At 37.8% G+C, this 24280-nt stretch overlaps 1 long non-coding RNA gene across 1 annotated transcript in view; it reads right to left on the bottom strand.

The window, feature by feature from the left end:
• Window positions 1-8794: 8794 nt before the first annotated feature.
• The window catches only part of LINC01470 (long intergenic non-protein coding RNA 1470), a 353385-nt gene continuing 337899 nt past the window's right edge, over window positions 8795-24280 (bottom strand). Inside the window, exon 5 of the long non-coding RNA NR_109877.1 lies at window positions 8795-10612. This is a non-coding gene — a long non-coding RNA (long intergenic non-protein coding RNA 1470). The remainder of the gene's footprint in view (window positions 10613-24280) is intronic.

The following is a 24280-nucleotide window of genomic DNA, read 5'->3' on the forward strand; positions in this document are numbered from 1 at the left end:
AAATAGGCAAAACATCATGCTCTTATGAAACTGACATCCTAGTTGGTTTGATGTACATGTTATGTGTTCATCTTCTCTTTGATATTCCTGATATCATTCATGGGAAGTTGATTGGTGACTTTCCAAGGAGCCATGGGGATAAACCAAGCATTATTTTTACACTTAATTAAATCACAGAATGTCAATATTTAGGGGTGCTTGGTTGTTCTTCCTTTGGAGTGGCCTGTCTTTCTAATGCACACCTGGGTTTCATGGACATTCATGAATATGGTGTTAATATTTCATGTGAGGGTTGGATTTTATAGTCAGAGAATTTGGGTCAGTGTCATAGCTTTGTTGTTTACTAGTGTATAACCTTGGTCAAGTCACTTTAATTTTCCTTAACTGTGGTTTTAGATCATTGATATTTACCACAAGAGTTGGATAAAGTAAATTCAGACATAAAAATGTTGTCCTGCTTTTTTTTGAAGATCATATATGTTATTGGGTATGAAAACATTTTTAAATAATTTTATTCATCTTATTACTAAGCAAAGTGAAAAAGTTGCAGGTAGCCACTCTTCTTAGCTGTTCTAGTTATGGAATACTGCATAACACTAACTCAAAGTTAGTGTTATAAAACAACCATTTGTTATGATCACAAATTCTGTGGGTGAAAAATTCAAACATCACTCTTCGGGGATGGTTTGTCTTTAGCCTCTTGATGTCTGGGGAATTGAATGGAAGATTTGAAGACTGGGAGCCGAAGTCGTCTGTAGGTTTGTTCACTCACATGTCTGGTGGTTGATGCTGGCTGTCAGCCTAAGTTTCTTTCCACGTGGGACCCTTTGCATGGACTAGTGTGGGCTACCTCCTGGATGGCTGTTCGATCCAGAGCAAACATTTCAAATAAAAAGAGCAGATAGAAGCTGTATCCTTTTTTCTTCTTTTGGTTTGGATGCTTCTATTTTTTTTAATTTTTATTATTTTTCTTTCAATTTTTATTTTAAGTGCAGGGGTACATGTACAGGATGTGTAGGTTTGTTATATAGTGTGCCACGGTGGTTTGCTGCACAGATCAACTCATCACCTAGGTATTAAGCCCAGGGAGGGAGAAGCTGTATTTTTTTTTTTAAGACAAAGCCTCAAAAGTCACAGAACATCACAATGTGCTTTGTTGGTCAGAGCAGCCACAAGAGAGCCAAGGTGCATGGGGAGGAGAAATAGACTATCATTTGTTTGCAACAAGCAAGATTATAGAAGAGCAAGTGGGATTTGAAATGTTGCTGTAACTATTTTTTGAAAAATGTAATCTGCCACAGTCAGCCTTCCGGCCACAATAATTCACATTCTTCTCGCATGCATGTAAAATATACTCACCTCTCCATCTATACTCGTTTATCAAAGTCCCATACCATTATAGTATCAGGCTCAGGTTTGCGGCCTAGAATTTCATAATCTGAAACAAGAACAGGGATGAAAAATGTTCCATAGATATAGCATCTCAATATAGCTTCTTAGGTGCAGTTTCTCTTAACCTATAAACTATAGAAACAATTGTCTTCCCACATCCATCCAACATACCACGGTAGAACTGGCATAGGATAACTACTAAAGGCATTCTTATTTAAAAAGTTAGAAGACATGAGGCACACAGCAATCACTAGTCCATAGGAATTTTGAAATCCAACTAGGCTTTTTTTTTTTTTTTTTTTTTTTTTTTTTTTGCCGGTTCTTTGACTGGTTCTCAGGACTACTGCTTGAGAATGATTCTCAGTGGCTCTTGGCTGTGTTTTCTGAGTCATTCTTCCATTTCCTTAAGAAATAGCTGGCAGTGTTTTCCTTTGTATATGAGAATATATAAGGGAATATAATAATTATCTTGTAAATGTTGTAGATTTTCTGTTTATTTATTGAGGTTAACTCCACTAGACAAAAGCTACCAACCACAAATATGATTGAAATAAGTCCTTGCCTACCTTAGACTTATTGTAACTCTGCAAGGGAACAATGCCCTTAAGATTTTTAGAAATCCCACACTTCAATAAAAAGGATCTTTGAGACATATCCTGAAGATCTTTGAATGGGGTTTTGTATGTTTGAGACACCACCTTAAGTCTTTTTGAGACCTCAACAAAGGGTTTGAACGTCATACCCTTGATTTTATCTGTAGATCATGGTTTCCCGACAGAACCCAAGATTTGATCTCTACACCAAAGCAGTTTATTAATTTTAGCATAATTTGCCATCTGGAAAGCCTAGGAATGAAAACTACTGTTATTTTTAAACCCAGAAAGTCCTGGCTCCTTTACATTCAGTAGTTTTTCATTAGCATTTCTCTATTTTCTTATATTTAACATAGAATGCTCTAGCAGTCTATGGTACAGGTGGCACTTTCAATAAATACTCCACCTGGAAGTCTCCATGGCTCAATTATCTAGACCAGTCAATACATTTTCTAGCCTCCATGTTATCACAGGTAATAGAGTTTCTAAACTTTCTACCAGTATATCACAAGTGTATTCTTTCAGTTTCCAGTAACCCTTTTATTTATTTAATTCCACTCTTAGACTCTTCTTGAAGGCCATCAAAGTTTCATTGTCAGACTTCTTAAGACCCTTTAGGTTTTCGCCAACACTCTCCTCAGTGTCTTTCCAGTCTCTATTAATCTCCAAATCCCAAAGTCACTCCTGTGTGGTTTTTAGGTAGTTTTGTTATGACAGCACCTTGTTTCCAGGCATAAAATATGTTTCATTTATTTAATGCTACATAACAAACTACTTTGAAATTTAGGATATATAAAACCCATTTATTATGTTCATGGATTCTCTGAGTCAGGAATTTAGACAGGGCATAAAGAGGATGGCTTGACTCCTCTCCATGATGTGTGGGGCCCCAGCTAGAAGATTCATTCTGAGGGCTGGAATCATCTGAAGGCTTGTTGACTCACGTAAATGGTGGTAGATAAAGGTTGTTGACTGGAACTTCAACTACACTGGGCATGAACTTCTCTGTGTGATCCTTTTGTGAGGGTGAGTGTGGGCCTTTTCATAGCATAAGGGTTGTCTTCGCAAGCAACCCAAAACGAAGGAGCCAGGGGGAAGATGGATTCTTTTTGAGACCCAGTCCCAGAAGTCATACAGCATTACTTCAATCTATTCTAATGGCTGGAAAAGTCACAAGCCTTTCCAGGTTTGAGGAGAGAGGAAATAGGTGACAACTCTTGTTGGGGAGTTGTAGGGTTCTGGAGAGGCATATGGAATTGAAAATATGCTGTGGCCATCTTTGGAGATTACAGTCTGCCACATTGCCTTTTATTAATGTCATTCAAACATTCCTGATTTTTAAACATTAAACTGATATGTGCATATGGCAGAAATAAAAAGACCAAAAGGTATTATACAATGTAAGAATAAAAAGGCCCTCAGTTTTTTCCTAATCACAAGTATGCAAGCTTAAATATTAGCAATTAAATTTAATCATTATTAACTTTATTGTGTAGTCTGTCAAAAATGCTCTATGCACATACCAACATATACTTATTTCTATTATATTCTATTGAGTCTCTACGTTCTAAAACCCTTTCTTATTTATCCGTATAGCTAGGGTTATAAATTACAGACTATTCTTGGAATTTTTCTCTTGAAAGTTTTTCTGAGTCTTTTTCTTCAAATCTGCTATGCCTATGGTTTGACTAAGCTAAAATACAACTGTATCTCCAATCACACACGGATGACAGAAAGTAGAGCAGAGGTTGACTGTATCCTGAGATGGCAGAGTGGCCATTTAGGAGGAAAATATTGTCCCTTGATGACAAAGAGTGGGTTTTGTTTTGTTCTCTCATGTTTAATGTTTTTAAGAGTTTGGTAGGGCAGATAAAAAAACTCATATGAGGATTTTGTATGAGTATGAGAATCTCAGGACACCTCAAGACTTAATGATTAGGGGATGAAGGGGAAGTGTGTTTCAGGTTTCTGATATATACTATGTAATAGAAAAAACCCTAAGTTAAGATTTTAGAGACTTTTTGGTCTTGGGTCTTCCTACTGGGAAGCTTTGTGACCTTGAACAAGTCTCCTTTCCTTTAAGCACTTAATTCATTTGCAACATAAAGAGGTTGGACTTAAACTCTAAAAGTATGGTCCATGAAACAGCAGCATCCACATCATGTGGGAGCCTGTTGAAATCTTGAATTTCTCTCCAGAACTAGTACATCTGATTCTACATTTAAAAATCTTCAGATCGTTCACAGTAAAGTGTGAAAAGCACTGAACTAAAGAATCTCTAAGGTCCCTTTCTATTCTAACTTGGTAGGACTGAAAGAACTTAAAGGAGAAGGATAAGAAGAAAACACAGCAACGATGATATTGATATTTTCTGAAAAAGTCAAATATTTTCTTTTTTTCTAGTTGAAAACTAGGGTGGCAAAAATGCTGAATGATACAAAGTTGCCTGTTGTATTTTGTAATATTGTAGCCCTGTTGTAGTTTCCAGCCAGAGCCTTTTCTGCTTCATTTGCTGTTCTCATTAGTCAGCTTCTCAAGGTAGCTTTCAAGAATTCTGTTAGAAACAAGCTAGGAAAAGTAAAGTAACCTACCAAAGATCATGCTTTAAGGCAGTGCTGAAAATACCAGTCATAATAGATGACAACAGTATTCCAGAAAGAGCCTCAAAAGATGTAAAAGATTTAGTTAAATAAAGCCTAGAACAGTAAGTGGTGTTTCGGGTGATTTAACACATGGTAGAATAAATAAAAGAAAGGGAGTTACTTTGTAGATTCTGGATATTAGCCCTTTGTTAGATGAGTAGGTTGCGAAAATTTTCTCCCATTTTGTAGGTTGCCTGTTCACTCTGATGGTAGTTTCTTTTGCTGTGCAGAAACTCTTTAGTTTAATTAGATCCCATTTGTCAATTTTGGCTTTTGTTGCCATTGCTTTTGGTGTTTTAGACATGAAGTCCTTGCCCATGCCTATGTCCTGAATGGTAATGCCTAGGTTTTCTTCTAGGGTTTTTATGGTTTTAGGTCTAACGTTTAAGTCTTTAATCCATCTTGAATTAATTTTTGTATAAGGTGTAAGGAAGGGATCCAGTTTCAGCTTTCTACATATGGCTAGCCAGTTTTCCCAGCACCATTTATTAAATAGGGAATCCTTTCCCCATTGCTTGTTTTTCTCAGGTTTCTCAAAGATCAGATAGTTGTAGATATGCGGCATTATTTCTGAGGGCTCTGTTCTGTTCCATTGATCTATATCTCTGTTTTGGTACCAGTACTATGCTGTTTTGGTTACTGTAGCCTTGTAGTATAGTTTGAAGTTAGGTAGCGTGATGCCTCCAGCTTTGTTCTTTTGGCTTAGGATTGACTTGGCGATGCGGGCTCTTTTTTGGTTCCATATGAACTTTAAAGTAGTTTTTTCCAATTCTGTGAAGAAAGTCATTGGTAGCTTGATGGGGATGGCATTGAATCTATAAATTACCTTGGGCAGTATGGCCATTTTCACGATATTGATTCTTCCTACCCATGAGCATGGAATGTTCTTCCATTTGTTTGTATCCTCTTTTATTTCATTGAGCAGTGGTTTGTAGTTCTCCTTGAAGAGGTCCTTCACGTCCCTTGTAAGTTGGATTCCTAAGTATTTTATTCTCTTTGAAGCAATTGTGAATGGGAGTTCACTCATGATTTGGCTCTCTGTTTGTCTGTTATTGGTGTATAAGAATGCTTGTGATTTTTGTACATTGATTTTGTATCCTGAGACTTTGCTGAAATTGCTTATCAGCTTAAGGAGATTTTGGGCTGAGACAATGGGGTTTTCTAGATATACAATCATGTCTTCTGCCAACAGGGACAATTTGACTTCCTCTTTTCCAAATTGAATACCTTTTATTTTCTTCTCTTGCCTAATTTCCCTGGCCAGAACTTCCAACACTATGTTGAATAGGAGTGGTGAGAGAGGGCATCCCTGTCTTGTGCCAGTTTTCAAAGGGAATGCTTCCAGTTTTTGCCCATTCAGTATGATATTGGCTGTGGGTCTGTCATAGATAGCTCTTATGATTTTGAGATACGTCCCATCAATACCTAATTTATTGAGAGTTTTTAGCATGAAGGGTTGCTGAATTTTGTCAAAGGCCTTTTCTGCATCTATTGAGATAATCATGTGGTTTTTGTCTTTGGTTCTGTTTATATGCTGGATTACATTTATTGATTTGCATATATTGAACCAGCCTTGAACTCAAACAAATTTAAAAGAAAAAAACAAACAACCCCATCAAAAAGTGGGTAAAGGATATGAACAGACACTTCTCAAAAGAAGACATTTATGCAGCCAAAAGACACATGAAAAAATGCTCATCATCACTGGCCATCAGAGAAATGCAAATCAAAACCACAATGAGATACCATCTCACACCAGTTAGAATGGCAATCATTAAAAAGTCAGGAAACAACAGGTGCTGGAGAGGATGTGGAGAAATAGGAACACTTTTACACAGTTGGTGGGACTGTAAACTAGTTCAACCATTGTGGAAGTCAGTGTGGCGATTCCTCAGGGATCTAGAACTAGAAATACCATTTGACCCAGCCATCCCATTACTGGGTATATACCCAAAGGACTATAAATAATGCTGCTATAAAGACACATGCACACGTATGTTTATTGTGGCACTACTCACAATAGCAAAGACTTGGAACCAACCCAAATATCCAACAATGATAGACTGGATTAAGAAAATGTGGCACATATACACCATGGAATACTATGCAGCCATAAAAAATGATGAGTTCATGTCCTTTGTAGGGACATGGATGAAACTGGAAATCATCATTCTCAGTAAACTATCACAAGGACAAAAAACCAAACACCGCATGTTCTCACTCATAGATGGGAATTGAACAATGAGAACACATGGACAGAGGAAGGGGAACATCATACTCTGGGGACTGTTGTGGGGTGGGGGGAAGGGGGAGGGGGGAGGGATAGCATTAGGAGATATACCTAATGCTAAATGACGAGTTAATGGGTGCAGCACACCAGCATAGCACATGTATACATATGTAACTAACCTGCACATTGTGCACATGTACCCTAAAACTTAAAGTATAATAATAATTTAAAAAAAAGGGAGTTACTTTATTCCTCTTATAAAAACATTTTTTCCTTCCTCACTGCAGCCCAGTATGTGGACATAATAGGAGCCTATTATGGTGAATTTATTCTTTCTTTAATCTTTCCAATAAATATTTATTGGGCACCTATTAGGTGTCAGACCTTGTGCTGTAAAAAAAAAAAAGACAACTTTATTCTTTTATTTTTAATAGTTAAGTTACAATTCACATACTACTCTATGATTCACATATGTAAAATATGTGAATTTAATCATTTTCATTGTGTTCATCAATATGAGTAACCATTACCAGAGTCAATTAATTTTAGGACACTTTCATCACCTGAAAAAGAAGTCCTATATCATTTAGCTATCACTCTCCTGTCTTCCCTTGCCCCAGCTCTGAGCAATTGCTACTACTTTCTATCTACAGATATTTCTTTATTCCGGACATTTTATATAAATGGAATTACATGATATGTGGTCTTCTTGTGACTGGCTTTTCACTTAGCATAATAATATATTCAAGGTTCATTCACGTTGCATGGATCATACTTCATTCCTTTCATAGACAGTTTCTTTTAAATAGATGCATTGCATTTTTCTTATCCATTTATCAGTTCGTGAACAGTTAGGTTGTTTTCACCTTTTGACTATTGTAAGTAATGCTCCAATAACTATTCACATGCAGGTTTTTGTGTGGACATAAATTTTCATTTCTCTTGAGTGTGTACTTAGCAGTGAAACTGCTAGGTCATACAATAATTCTATGTTTTATCACTGAACAACTACCAGACTGTTTTCCAAAGTGGCAGCATGAAACTTCACTCCTAGCAAACTTAAAGAAATGGGGTTGAATTGGAGGTGGCTGGCAGTATGTGAGATATTTGACAACATGCAGTCTGAATCTCATCACCCCATCCATTTCATTATTCCCACCTCCATCTGTATATGTTTCTTAAAACATCCTTATATTTCCCTGCTGAAAGACCTACCAGGGAAACTCACTGACTGGTAGGCCCATGCCCTCAAGGATGTGATACTCAAGGTGCTCCATATTATGACGTAAGCAGAGCAGTTTAAACATTGTAGCTTTATGTTCTTGAATGTATAATTCATTTATTTCTGCCTCAGTTTCCTTTTCTCTTAAATAGATTGCCATAAAATATTGAAATGTAGAATCTTTAATAGAGTTTCTGACATATTACAGGTAACCTATGGCAATGATTGATATAACATCAATAAAAAATAAAAAGTTGTATTTCTATTTAGCTGCAAACATTTGGAAAATGTAAATATACCATTTATAATAGCATAAACAGACCATATATATTTAACAAATTTTAATTATGGATACGTAAGAGTTATACACATTTATGGGCATATGTGATATTTTGATACAAGCATACAACATGTAATGATCAAATTAGGGTAGCTATCACCTCAAATATTTATCATTTCTTTGTGTTAGGAACATTTCAATTCCACCCTTTTAGTTATTTTGAAATATACCATAAATTATTAACTGTAGTTGTGCTATTGTACTACTGAATGCTAGATCTTATTCTTTTTAACTGTATTTTTGTACCCATTAACCATTCTTTCTTTATGCCCCCCTCTGCACTACCCAAAAAGATACAGAAACTCTACTAAACATTCTAACATATTCCTCAGAGATTTAAAGAAGACCCAAGTTTATGAAGATAGAGAACATGTTAATGAACTGGAAGATTTAATATGGTTTGATTAGACCTAATTACAAACTAAATGAAATTTGCATTTTTTTGGTGGAAATACACAAGTTTATTCTAAAATTTATATGAAAATACAAGAAATAAAGAACTTCCAAAGCTATCTTGAAAAAGAACAAATTCAGATAAATTATATTATTACTTTATATCAAGACCTGCAGCAAGCCACAATAATCAAGATAGTATTGCATTAGCATAAGGTTATACAAGCTGATCCCTGGGACAAAGTAAAGCTCAGAAAGAAATCAATACACACATAGTCAGTTAATTTCAATAAAAGCTCAAAGACACTTCAATGGAAAGTCTTTTTGAACAAACAGTGCTGGAATAACTAGATAACCATGGAAATAATGAATCTTCTTAGCCACAATTCACAATATTCACAAAATTAATGTAGATAAATTATAGATTCAATTATAAAAGCTAAAGCTGTAAAGGTTTTATGAAGAAAAAAAACACAGAAGACTATATTACAATCTTAGGCTAGGCAAGATTTTATAGAGATGAAAGAAAAAACACTAGCTGCAAAAAAGCAATAAATCGGATTTCACAAAAATAAAACAACAAAAATTCTCTGCCCATCAAAAGAAAATTAAAAGTTTAGCTGTAATGTGGGAAAAAATATTAGCAATATATATTCGATGATGAACTTCACCCAGAACAAGAGCAAACCATTAATAAAAAGATACTGTTGTTTTTTTTTACAACTGAATGAAAGTTTTGGACATTTAAAAAAAATGGTGAATTGCACATGAAAATGTGCTTGATATCATTAATCATCAGAGAAATGTAAACGAAAATAAAAATAAACTATTGCACCACTTCGTTGTGGCAACAACAAATGTTGGTGAGGATGTGGAGTAAGTGGAACTCCCAGATCTTACTCAGAGAAGTAGGTAATGGAGCATCCAGTTTGGAAAACAGCTTGATGATTTTCATAAAGTTAAGCATATACCTCTGTTGTGACTCAGAAATTCCATCCCTGACTATTTACCTATGAGAAATGAAAATGTTTCTACAACAAGACTTGAGCATGTTTATAGCAGCTTTACTAGTAAATAGCCAAAAGCTTTACTAACAATAGCCAATGTCAAGAGTACAATGGGTACATAAGTTGTGGTATATTCATATAATGGAATACTCCTCAGCTACATCAAGGTAACAAATTACTGATAACATGGAACAATATGAATGGATTTCAAAAAAATGATACTGCCTAAACTAGCAAGAAACAAATGAGACAGCACTATATGATTTCCTAAGATGTGAAGTTCTAGTACATAATGATAAAAATCAGAACTCTAGTTGTTTCCTGTGGAGAGTGGATTGACTGGAAGGGGACATGAAGTAATTTCCTGGGTGATAAAAATGTTCTGCATCATGATAGTGTTGTTTACATGGATGTATATAGTTGCTAAACTCGTGTAATTGTGCACTGAAGATTTGTGCATTTAACTTTCTGTAAATTTTGCTTGAAATAGGAAACTCTAAATCCATCCTGGGAAATGTATTAGCTTGTATACTTGGCAATGTGGTTTACTTGCCTGCACATTGGCACCTTTATCTCTTTAATGGATTATTACTGGATTTAAAGAGAAATCTAAAGTGTTCAGTTATTTTTGGCACATTACAGGTATAGAAGGTGTAGCATATCATTAACACAACTAAACTTTCAACTCGCCAAATAATTTGCTGTAGCCAAATGAGAATCTTGACGAGTTTTGCATATATCCATTTCATTAATTCTTCTTCGCGTTTGGTTCTGGACATCTTGGAGCTTGAACCTATGAAGTTAATCATTGAAAATTAAGAGTTGGTTATGCTAGCTACGACATGCTACTACAATCTTAAACCTTTTATTTCTTTCCACTTTTGTTTCCTCATATTGCTTCCTATGCCTAGCTGTGCATTAGAATCAGCTGGTGACGTTTTTAAAGTACACTGTTGTTTGGTTGTCATGGCAGAGATATTCATCTAATTGATCTGGTGTGAGGAGTAGGCGTTAGTATTTTTAAAAAGCTGTCCAGGCATTTGAATCTGGAGTCAGAGTTAAAAACCACTGGACCAGGTGATGTTTAACGATCCTTTCAGCTCAAATGGCAAATCTACAAGCTAAAAATATTCAATGGAAGTGTTTGGTTAAGCTACATTTTTAAATTGTTGTTGTATTGATGTTGTTGTTGAATTACAAAGTGTTTAAGCAGAGAACAGAGGTTCCAACTAAACATCAACACTATGCTTTCTATTGCTTCATATCCATCCCTTTTCCCTATTTACTTTATTCTGAAGGCATCGAATTTTCATATTTGTGATTTTTGGTTCTAAAGATATTCAATTCAGCAGCACCTATAAGGAAAGGGTCCCCCCCCCTTTTTTTTAACCATTGTGACTTATTGTCATCTTCTATGAATGAAAGTTCTGATCTTACTCATCTGGAAAGACATATAGAACTGGGAAACTAAATTTTGAATACAATCTCTCATCCTGCCTTGTTCAGTTGCAGCAAGTTGGCTACAAAATTGCCCTACACAGCTATTGTATCTACTGCTGTATCAGCAGAATAAAGGGAATCTGATATAAAACCTTCAGAAAATGCAGATAGTTATTTTTTTTAAGTCTGGGAATTACAGAAGAGATGAAAGAACAGCTTCACTGTTTTCTTTCCATATATAAGGTATTCAACTGGAGTCGGGGTAGTGAGGTCACTAACTGCATTACAAATAGCTGGATCAGGTGGGCTCTTATGAGAATAATAACTTAGTAGAATTCATAAAGAGAGAAAAGAAGGCGATACTGGGATTGGTCCTAAAACCCCTTTCAGTTCAAAGGAGCTGGACTAATGTGTTGTATCAGTGATAAATGATTTGCTATTGTCAAATCTTCCAAATGGCTGATAGTATAATCCACAGCCCAGAAGTCTGTATGTATTTGAAATGTTTCGTTCCTTTGTAGGGAAAAATTTAAAAAGTAAATCCCATGACAATTGAAGTAGATGATATCTCTCCCCAGCCACCTTGATCCATCCAGACATGTGACATATTTCCCTCCTTAATTTTGATCAAAAATTCTTTGGCATTTTATACAAAAGTAGCCCAAGTTACTTATTAAGATTTAGCAAATAAACATATGAAATCTTCCACAATAGTGCCTAATAAAGAAGAAAAGATAACTTAGAAAATATATGACTGAGTTGGTTAAAAGTTCCTTATGACCACCTGACATTAGACATGCTGCAGAGAAATTTATACATGTATTTCTTTTTGAATATTTTGGATATTAGGTACTCATTACTTCACAAGCATTGTTTTTCATTTTTGGACAAGTTTTAGAGCTTTCAACTATCAGTTGTATTCTGTTCTCCAAACCCACATAAAAAAAGTCATCTTCTTCAATGTGACAATTTTAAGTGTTAGGTAAAACATAACTGTCTTTAATTTCCTTTTGTTAGAATAAATATTCTCAGGTTCTTCATTCATCCACCACATGCCATTGCTTTTTGCCCCATCATCATCCTGGTCACCCTTCAAGTTCTAATTTCCCAAAGACCTCCTGAAGCTCTTTTTGGAATTTAGGACTCTCTTTCAGTGTGTGATCTGACAGCCAAAAGTGTGGAGAGAGATTTCTATCTGCTTGTTTCTACACAAAAATTGTATTACACCCTTAAAGCCTTCATGAAGAAGAGCAGAGAGAAAAAACCAACAAATGCCTGTTGTTCTATTTAACACAGTCTCAGATTGCATTAGCATCCCCCACCCCCAACTTTGGCAGCTTCATTTTTCCTTTTCAGTGAACTCAATCTTCACAGCTGGTTAATTCTGTCACTTGAGTGTGTGATTCAAATGAAGCCAGGCTGAGGGCCAAGCCTTCCATGGACACAACCCACAGCCCTTTTCCCTGCCAATCATCTGCCCACAGACCCTTGGTCATGAGAGAGACTGACAAACACTTTGTTCTTCCCATCCCCTAAATGGCAAATCTGAGGGCAGAGAAAAAATAAGCTGGGTATTAGCAACTTGGGGTGATAGTTCTGGATCTTCTCAGAATGGCTTGGTGACCTTACATAAGTTCTCTAACAGGGCTGCTAGAAGTTGTTGTAAAAATTAAATTGATACTTTGGGAGGCCGAGGCGGGCAGATCACCTGAGGTCAGGTGTTTGAGACCAGCCTGACCACCACGGTGAAACTCCGTCTCTACTAAAAATACAAAAATTAGCTGGGTATGGTGGCAGGCACCTGTAATCCCAGCCACTCAGGAGGCTGAGGCAGGAGAATCGCTTGAACCCGGGAGGCGGAGGTTGCAGTGAGCCGAGATCACACCATTGCACTCCAGCCTGAGCAACAGAGTGAGACTCCATCTAAAAAAAAAAAAAAATTAAATTGATATAGAGCATTCTTCTTACTCATATCCATTGTTCAGTATTAAGCATCATATTCCTTTTTTTTCTTTTTGAGATGGAGGCTCGCTTTGTTGCCCAGGCTGGAGTGCAGTGGCATGATCTCCGCTCACTGCAATCTCCACCTCCCAGGTTCACGCCTTTCTCCTGCCTCAGCCTCCCGAGTAACTGGGACTATAGGCGCCCGCCACCACGCCTGGGTAATTTTTTGTATTTTTAGTAGAGACAGGGTTTCACCATGTTAGCCAAGATGGTCTCGATCTTCTGACCTTGTGATCTGCCTGCCTTGGCCTCCCAAAGTGCTGGGATTACGGGCGTGAGCCACCTCGCCCGGCCCAAGCATTATATTCTTTTTGGAAGGTGAGCACATGATTTTATTAGTGGTCTGATAGAGCAGCTAAACATATTGAGCTTTGTTCAAGTGATGGACTTTCAACTGTCCTTTTATTTTCTTCTCTATTGAATTCTGAGTATGGAAAATCACTTTCTTTACTGTCACAACTTTTGAACATTCATTTAATTCCCCACTATATTATAAATACATAAAGGAGCTTTATTGTAGATTGAATTCTATTATGTTTAGTAACAGGTGTGAGGCAGTGTGATGGTTAATAGGAAGTAGAAGTGGCACCACTCACCATTACCCCTAGTGACCCAACAGCAGAATTTTTGCTTCCTGTTCCCATGACATTATGTTCTGCTGGCCTAGAGGTCTTAGTTCCTGAGGGAGGAATGCTGCCACCCAGACACAACATTGATTCCATTGAAATGAAAGTTAAGACTGCCACCTGGCCACTTTTAACTCCTCATGCCTCTGAGTCAAAAGGTTAAGAAAGGGGTTACAGTGTTGGCTGTGGTGACTGACGTAGACAATCAAAATCCACTACTACTCCACAGTGGAGGTAAGAGAGAGTATTTGTGGAATATAAAAAATCCCTTAGGGTGTCTGTTATTAATAGTATTACCCTGCCTTATAGTTACGGTCCACAGGAAATGACAACAGCCCAATCCAGGCAGGAATAGGGATGGCCCAGACCCTGTGAGAGTGAAAGTTTGGGGCCTGGTGTGGTGGCTCACACCTGTAACCCCAGCACTTTCGGAAGCCGAGGCAGTCAGATCACCTGAGGTCAGGAGTTCGAGACCAGCCTGGCCAACGTGGCAAAACCCAGTCTCTAGTAAAAATACAACAAAAATTAACAGGGTGTGGTGGCATACACCTGTAACCCCAGCTACTCGGGAAGCTGAGACAGGAGAATCTCTTGAGCCCAGGAGGCGGAGGTTGCAGTGAGCTGAGTTCATGTCACTGCACTCCATCCTGGGCGACAGAATGAGACTCCATCATCTCAAAATACAAAACAAAATGAAACAAAAAAAATAAGTTTGGGTCACTCTAGCAAATAAAAAACCACAACCAGCTAAGTACTTGTTAAAGACAAAGAAAATACAAAATAAATAATAGAAAAAGGTAATTTTTTAAATTTTAAGACAGAGTCTCACTTTGATACCTACGCTGGAGTACAGTGGCACAATCTTGGCTCACTGCAACCTCTGCATCCCGGGTTCAAGCGATTCTCCTGCCTCAGACTCCCCGGTAGCTGGGATTACAGGTGTGTGCCACCACACCCAGCCAATTTTTGTATTTTTAGTAGAGATGGGGTTTCACTATGTTGGCCAGGCTGGTCTCGAACACCTGACCTCAGGTGATCTGCCCACCTCGGCCTCCCAAAGTGCTGGGATTGCAAGCAGGAAAAGGTAATTATTAATACCAACTATGAACATGTGACCTGTTACAGAAATGAAGACTATGTTTGCTCATTTTGTTAAAAATATGTTTGTGCATATATATATACCTGTATTAAGCAAATATCTTTATTTTCTTTATTCCCTTGACATGTAACATAAAATATATTGAATTCATGTCGGCACTTCAGTGTTAATTTTATGTGATAATATTTAAGGATTTGTGCATTTTTGCTTGCATGGAGAATAATTATGTTAGGCAGAATTATGACTTATCTTTAGAGATTAAGTATAATTTTAAAATATATATGGGTGTCAAGTTGACAAACAGTGGATTTTGTGATGGTTAATATTAAGTGTCAACTTGGCTGGATTGAGGGATGCCTAGATGGCTAATGAGGTACGGTTTATGAGTGTGAGTGTGAGTGTGTTGCCAGAGGAGATTGACATTTGAGTCAGTGGACTAGGAGAGGAAGGCCCTCCTCAGTGTGGGTGGGCATCATTCAATCATCTGGCAGCACAGCCAGAACAAAGCAGGGGGAAGAAGGGGCATAAGCAGCTTGCTGAGTCTTCCAGCTCTCTCTTCTCCCTCTCTGCCTCTTTCTCTTCCTTTGTGAAAGGAAAATAAATCTTAGAACCCCAAAATCATGAAGCCAAAGGGAAAATTCAAGCTGAGAACTGCTTAGGGCAAATATGCCTCCCATTCTATTGCTTAAAAAGATAGCTAAGATAAGCTACATACCTCCCTGATAAGGAATTTCCTTGTGGACAAAGGACAGACAGAACTCACTGAGATAAATGCATATCTATTTGATCACCTACTTTGATCAGAGACTCAAAAGAATGGAACAATTTGTCTCCTATCTATCCTATGACCTGGAAGCCCCCTTCCTGCTTCGAGTTGTCCCACCTTTTCGGATTGAACCAATGTGCATCTTGCACATATCGATTGATGTCTCCTGTCTCCCTAAAATGTATAAAATCAAACCGTGCCCGACCACCTTGGGCATATGTCTTCAGGACCTCTTGAGGCTATGTCAGGGGTGCACAGTCCTTAACTTTAGCAAAAGAAACTTCCTAAATTGATTGAGACCTATCTCGGATATTTGGAGTTCACACCTTGCTGGACACCTTGCTTCCTCTCCTACTGCCCTTGGACATTAGGCTCCAGGTTCTTTGGCCTTAGGACTCCAGAACTTGGACCAGGGGTCCCCTGGGGCTCTCAGGCCTTTGGCCTTACACTGAGGGCTGCACTGTCAGCCTTCCTGATTGTGAGAGGTTTTTGTCTTGAACTGAACCTCACTACCAGCCTCTCTCTTTCCTCAGCTTGCAGAGGGCCTATTGGGAGACTTTCCTTTGTAATCACGGGAGCCAATTCTCCCTAATAAATGTCTTTATATATATATACATACATTTTATTGATTCTGTCCCTCTGGAGAACTCTGACCAACTCAGGCAGAGTGGAGTTAGGAAAACAAACATTTCAGCTGTGAAATTCTAAACTAGAGGATAGTGATCTAAAACCTTACGACATTGAGCCACTCAGGGTTGTGGTAAGATGTCTTCACATGAGTCCAAAATCCATTACAATGTTGCCAATGTAGTGAAATTGTCTTTGTTCCTTCACTTCTCACCTGCGGTATTTGGGCAAGCTTACACCTATAGTTAGTGATTGCTCAACCTCTGGAACCCAGATCAGTGTTGCAAATACTCTCTGTGCATGTCTTCATTCACCTTCTTACCTGTGGCAGACTTCAGCCATTGAGTATAGCACTTCTTATGAAGCCCAAACATAGCCCAAAGTACTTTTCCACAGAGGACCAAAGAAACTCACTACTAGTCTGTGGCTGGCATAAGAATAAAATGTCATTTTAGCATAATATTTAGAGTTCGACCATCTGCGTTCAAAGTCCATTTTCTCAACATAAGATTTAATTTCTCACTGTCTGTTTCCTCATATGTAATATGAAAATAATAATACCTACTTCATAGAGTTGTCAGGATTAAATGAGAGAATGTAAAAATGTTAGAACAGTGTCTATACATAGTTAGTTCTTACTATATATGGTAGTTTGCAAGTCAATCTAATTGCCCTTTTCTTTATGTAGTACTACCTTCAGCTATGTAATTAAAACTTTTTCTTCTTCTTTTTTTTTTTCTTTGAGAAAGAATCTTGCTCTGTCGCCCAGGCTGGAGTGCAGTGGTGTGATCTCAGTTCACTATAACCTCCGCCTCCTGGGTTCAAGCGATTCTTCCGCCTCAGCCTCCCAAGTAGCTGGGACTACAGGCACACGCCATCACGCCCGGCTAACTTTTGTATTTTTAGTAGAGACAGGATTTTACCATATTGGCCAGGCTGGTCTCGAACTCCTGACCTCATGATACACCTGCCTCGGCCTCCCAAAGTGCTGGGATTACAGGCGTCAGCCACCGCGCCTGGCCAAAAAGCTTCTTTAGTGATAAAGCTGGATATGAGTCTTAGCAGTGATACACTTCATAGTAAGAGATGTTCAAGTATGTGTCTGTATGTTTGTGTCCAAGTTGATTTTTATGTGCATTTGGAATGAATCTAGAAGGACTGCGGTTTATGTTTTTATATCTTGCTACTTCAGTTAACATTTGAATAGGGTCATTTGGTGAACATGAACACTAAAATATTCTTTCCAAAATGGGAACCAATCTGGATAATGATAATACTTAGCCATTAACCTGAAGTTCTTCCATTAGTAATTCTATTTACGGAATTCCAGAAAAAACTACCAAAAGCTTTAGGAAGCAGGAGCGGGTCATGCTAACCTTTCTGTTGGCATTTGATCAGGTCTTTCTGATTCATTCTTTTTTGGTCACACAGTTTTTGTCCCTGTGCCTGTCTTTAAAGTATTTGTGGGCTCTTGTTTTAGACAGCTTTGCTGAGATGCTGTTGTTACTGTTGTTGATATCAGAAAATATGCAGAAGTGAAAGAGAGTGAGCATGTTGTGTGATTTATGGGAGCATATTTATGTGTAGGTGTGGACACATGAGTTGTATATGTTGAGTTAAGGAAAACGAGCCTATTGTGTATATATGGGATGTGTGGGTGGAAGAAATGTATAGCTATGTGTCTCTGTGTATATATGTTTGCACGTGTGCACCCTTGGCAGTATAAAGAACAGCCTCTCCTTAAGTTGATTTTTTTTTTTTTAAACTCAGCCTGTTCAAGGTTATCCTGTGGTTTCTTTTTCCCTTTGCTGTCTTTTCATTCTACTCCTTCTTAATCCCTTTCCTTTCACATTTCCACAAGTTTCACTCTCTCCTATTGTACTAAGACTCAACAGTTTACACCTTACTATCTTTCGCCTAGAGCTAAAGCCACCATGTATTTACCTGCTGAGGGCTTCACAGAATGACTCCACCTAGTCTCTCAATGGTTCAATATAAGATAGCTCATGTTCACCCAAAACATGTATCACTTCTGGCTTTCTTGGGTCAAATATGCCTGAAACGTTGACTCTCAACTCTTCTCTGCTGCTCCCTTTGCAGAGCATTTATGGTCTGCCAGCTCCAGCTAAACAGGGCAGATATAATTACTCCCCCTTGAATAGTGAGGATTTAGAGGGCTATGAGAGGGTCAGAATTAGACTGTGGAGTTCTACAGAGGGTTGGTAGGGAAGAACTCTGCAGATCAGACATGTGGAAGGGGCTTATCAATAAAATACTCCCAGAATATTCTTTTACATTCTAGCCTTTTTCTAACCCCCAGTATTGTTGAATTATTACTCATGACAGGCCTTAGTAGTGATCTGTCTTTTGCTTGACTATTATTACAGGTCATGAATGAGATGTATATCCTTTTTTTAGTTTTTATTTTTGGGGGATACATAATAGGTGTATATATGGGTTATATGAGATATTTTGATACAGGCATACACTGTTTAATAATCACATCGGGGTAATTGGGGTATCCATCCCCTCAAGCATTAATCCTTTGTGTTATAAACATTCCAATTATGCCCTTTATTTTAAAATGTACACTTATTATTGACTATAATCACCCTGTTGTGCTATTAGTACTAGATCTTATTCATTCTATTTTTTGTACCCGTTAACCATCCCCACTTCCCCTCCCCCACTCCCACTACCATTCCTAGCCTCTGATAACCATCATTCTATTCTCTATCTTCATAAGTTCAACTGTTTTAATTTTTAGTTCCCACAAACAAATGAGAACATGTGAAGTTTGTCTTTCTCTGTCTGGCTTATTTCAATTAACACATCCACCCATGTTGTTACAAATGACAGGATCTCATTCTTTCTTATGGCTGAATAGCCCTCCGTTGTGTATATGTACCACATTTTCTTTATCCCCTTGTCTGTTGATGAATGCTTAGATTGCTTCCAAATCTTGGCTATTTATGCACAGTGCTGCAATAAGCATGGGAATGCAGATATCTCTTCAATATAGTAATTTCCTTTCTTTTGGGTATATACCCAGCAGGGGGTTACTGGACTGTAAGGTACCTGGATTTTTAGTTTTTTGAGGAACCTCCAAACTGTTCTTCATAGTGGTTGTACTAATTTACAATCCCACTAACAGTGTACTAGGGTCCCCTCTTTTCCACAACCTCACCAGCATTTGTTATTGCCTGTCTTTTGGATAAAAGCCATTTTAACTGGGATGAGGCGATGTCTCATTGTACTTTTGATTCACATTTCTCTGATGATATCAACGATGTTGGGCACCTTTTTGTATACCTGTTGGCCATTTGTATGTCTTCTTTTGAGAAATGTCTATTCAGATCTTTTTCCCATTTTAAAATCAGATTATTAGATTTTTTCCACTATAATTGTCTGGGCTCCTTATATATTATGGTGATTAATCCCTTGTCAGATTGGACATCCTTTCCTTTTGGAGTGGCATTCGTAGTGAATTAAGTTCTGGATAAAGGAGTTGCCTTTGCTTCATGTTTAGTACCCATGTTGACAACCTGCTCTGTTAAAATTAAAAGTAATATTAATAATCGTGGCAGGTCATGAACAAAATCTGTTGGTATCACTAAATATTCATGCATTCTGCAGCCCTTATGTTCTGTTTACAGTTCTAGTAATTAAGTAGCTCAGAGCTTAGAGAAATAACTGAGTTTAATAACAATTATGAAATTTTAAAAGGTAGCATTTACATAATGCAAATAAGGTAATTAATTACAACCCTGGAGAGAGTTCTTGCCTGCTGGTGAACTCTAAGCCCACAATATTCACATTAGGTAAGCTTTACCTTTTTTCTTTCAATGACATTGACCTTCCAACTGTCCATGGAAAGAGGACTACACCTTGGGGATTTAGAGGGTGTGAGCCTAAATATGGTAACTCTACATCTGATTCACAGGGTGACTTCAGTTTACAGCTAGTGCCTGATATATATAAAGCCCTTTGAATTTCACAATTTTTTTTCTTGTACATGGTCTCCTTTAAGACTTATAACCACACAAGGGAAGGGAGGTCAGATTTTACTTTTGAGGAAATAAAGTTACACAAGCAAATGAATACCTTTGGAAACATCTCAGCTGACAAACAGTCCCCTTGAAATGAGAACTGATCCACCATCTATTGGGCCAAAGGAGTGGGCCTCAGGCATGATGTCTAAAATTCATACACACTCTGTTCATACTTTTTGGTGAGGGGGAATTAGCTAGGCCTATCATACCTTCAGCTAGGAATTAAACATGGAAATGAGAATCAGGAATCAGTCTTTCCTTGTGGCTGGACCTATACCATGAAAACTTGGATTATCTTGTCTTCCACCAGGCAGACTGGGAGGTAAAGGAAAAAAAGCTGATTGTCAGAGAGAGAGAAGAAAGGGAAGCAATAATGAAAGAGGAATGGGCCCCTTGTAGTAGCTTTCTAGATCCCCTATCCACTGCCTTTGGGACCCTGTTGGTAACTCTAGTGTGTTTTTATTGTTAAAAGAGTCTCGAGTAAGACAAACATTTTGCCTAAGTCAAAAAACTAATGAGTAACACAGAGTGAGAGAGAACTCAGGTTTTCTAACCACTAATGTATAGTTCTTTCTATAGCACTGCAACTGCCTTTTATATTTCTCAGGCCTCATCCCTCTATTCAGGACCCATCCTCCCTGTCATGAAGATGGAGCCGCCTTAGGGTTCTCGGATCTTAGAGTCTGGCTTCTAGCATGTCCAGATGTACTCTATCAGGATGCTCCTTGATTCATTAAAATGCTATAAGAAGGAAACACAGCCAGCTGCCATTCTCTTTGCTCATCATCTTCCCTGGTGTCAGTCGCACCTCATTGCATTTGGCAACACTCCTGACGTGAGTGACATTAGCTGGAGCACAAATCAGGTAGCATCTGCTGAGGAGCAGAAAAAAAAAATCACAAACACATTTATAAAAGGGAAAATAAAATCAGGGTGACATTCAAGTTGTCTTTTTGATAGTCTCTGTTTCTACATTTGTATTTAAAATAGATGGCTCCATTTCGTGGTGTTCTAATTTACCTGTTTTTGAAGCCTGTTCCTAACCTTTACCTCAGAGGAAACTCACGACATTGAATAAATATAGTAGAACAGGAGTTATAACTAGGGCAACCATGTGGGTCAGTTTGCTGAAGATGACCCCAGTTTAGAGTATTGTCCTAGTATAATTTTTAGTAGACCCTTTTCCCCTTTCAAATATGTCCTGATTTGGATGATAAATAATTTGATCACCTTGGTAACAGTCTCCATTGGATAAACCATCCACCAGTGATACTTAGCATCTACTATGCATGACCAAAGGTGGTGTGTGTGTAATCATGTCACCACTATCTCTTCCTTTAATGAGCTTCAAATTTAGGGTTACCACAATAGCAAAACAGAACGGCAACTCCAGGACTCATCTTAACAGTGGGACCCAGAGAAAACAAGCCAACTGGTTATCAGTTTCCTATTCTTGAAATGAATGCATGCCAAGGCAGGGTATGCATGGGTCAAAGACAGAGAGTCTGGAGACAGACAACTTGGGCTCATAACACTTCCATTTCCTAGTGCTGTGACCATGAGAAGGTTAACTGATTTTCTCAAGCTGCTAATTTCACAAGTATACATATGGATGATAACAGTATATCCTCCTCCTTGTTGGAGTGCTGTGAGGATTAAGTGCTATAATGTGTGGTTGGGTAATTAACATAGTGCCTAGTGGAAACTAAGAGTTCAGTAAATGAGACCTACAGTAGGATCCATAGCAACAAGTGCTTCTTGGATTAAAACTCCTTAGAATCAGCCTTTCTATCTTTCAAACTCAGTGACATATTAGGTAAGGCTAATCATAGAAATCCCATGGTTGGAAGGGCCTGTGCTATTTTCCAACCCGCACTCCCTACCACTCAGTGGTGGATGGTTAGTAGGTAAACAACATTCCTCAGAATCATTCATCACATTTCTTCTCGACATTTTCAAATAGAGTTGTGACAGCAAGGCAAACTGTGTGCTGTAGGCTAAAAAGAACAGATGGTGTCAGAAGAATCTAGCATGTGATAGAAAAACATGGTATGTTTCCATCCAGCATAGGGAGGGGCAGGAACAGTGTGTACTGAAGAGCTCCTCCTTCCAGGTGGTGGGGTGGGAAGAGAAAAAGAGTTGGTGGGGTACCAACAGCAAAGTCCTTTGTGGACAAGGTCTGTCTATACTATAACTTCTCTGGGATTTCTTCCCTGAGTCTAGAAAGATGCTAAATTTTGTTAAATGCTGTTTGAATACGTTTCTTGGAAGTAGACTAGGAACACTTTCCATGACTTGATTGAACAAAGGCCAAAGAACATAGACCCATTAAAGAAAAACAAATATAAAGCCAAGTATTTATTCAAATTATTACCTATTATTATCATAGAAATTAATGGCTAACATTTATTGAACTACATGCCAGATTGAACTAAAAGCTTCGGAAGCATTATCTTATTACGTGTCTACAACTCCACTGTGACATACATGCTGGGATTATCCCAATTTTGCCTCCAAGGAAACTGGTGAAAGAGGCCTAGGGGTAGCACAGCCATTAGGAGGGGCGCCTTTTAACCTAGGTCAGTCTGACTGTTATATATACAATTGTTTTGTGCTCTTGACCATTATGCTGTGATTAACTTGCCAGAAAAATAATCTATTGCAGAACTTGGTAAGCAAAATGCCTTTGGTTATCACTGTGTTTAAGGATGAAGTAATATTAAATAAGAGGAAGAAAAATTAAAATATTGAGGGCTAGAGGACATTTCTGGTTTGGTTGAAACTTTCTCCTGTTCCCAATATGAATTACAGGGCATCTGGCCTTACAGTTGGGTGCCTAGTCTTGTTTCACAAAGAAGATCAATTTATTTTTCTTCAGGAAAACATTCTGAGATTTTAGTGGTATTAAATGCCAGAAAGGTCTTCCTGCTTTTTAACCTAAGATGATCTAAGTAGAGCACAGGAAGTAGGAATTGGAACACAGTTCTTTTTGCTATATTTGGTAACATACCAGTTCCTTATTTGTTTTCTCTTTAGTTTTATTTTTAATTATATAAATATTTGTGATATGACTCTTATATGCCATGCTCTGTACAAACCTATAAATGACATGAAGGTGAGAAAAATAGACACAGTGCCTATCCTCATTAAATGTATTATCTTGATTTTTTCTAATAAAACAAAAAAGATTATAAAATTTTGCCACATTCAATAGTTGAGTGTGTTTAATTGTATTTTATCAATCATGTCTATTTAAAATTTAGTTGCTTGCGTATCTCTCTAAATACGTTCATATGCTATTTTAGAATAAAGCAAGAGAGAAATCAGTAATGCAGCATTTATAGCTGATTGCCTTGATTCAGAAAGATAAGAGGGTCAGAGCTTTACTGAGTGACCTAGAATAAGTTGTTACATTTCTCCAAGCTTATTTACTAATTTAGAAAATGACCCTCTGCCCTCCGTTCCCTACAGGCAAACTGCAAATATATAGTCACTTCCCATGTGAAAATGCATCTGTCCCAGAGTTGAAAAGTACCTGAAGTCAGATGTCTGTGAAGAGCTGGTTTTAGAAGTACAAACTCTGTCTCCTTTTCCTTGTCTACCTTTAGGTGATTTACCTCATTTTGTATTAAGTGAGAGTGTCACTCCATTTTCTATTGACCTTGATGATGGCCCAATGTTAAGATCTAATGAGATGGGTGTGAAGATTCTCTATGAATTTAAGGGTTTCTAGTTGAACAAAGCTGAAATCTGAGCTGAGCTGCTTAGATGAGAGATATGAGATGATTTCAGACTGCATGGTTGTATGCCTTGCAATATTAGAGGATTTCTTTGTGGATTGTATGGG

Source organism: Homo sapiens, chromosome 5 (genome assembly GCF_000001405.40).
Source record: "Homo sapiens chromosome 5, GRCh38.p14 Primary Assembly".
Lineage (NCBI taxonomy): Eukaryota > Metazoa > Chordata > Mammalia > Primates > Hominidae > Homo > Homo sapiens.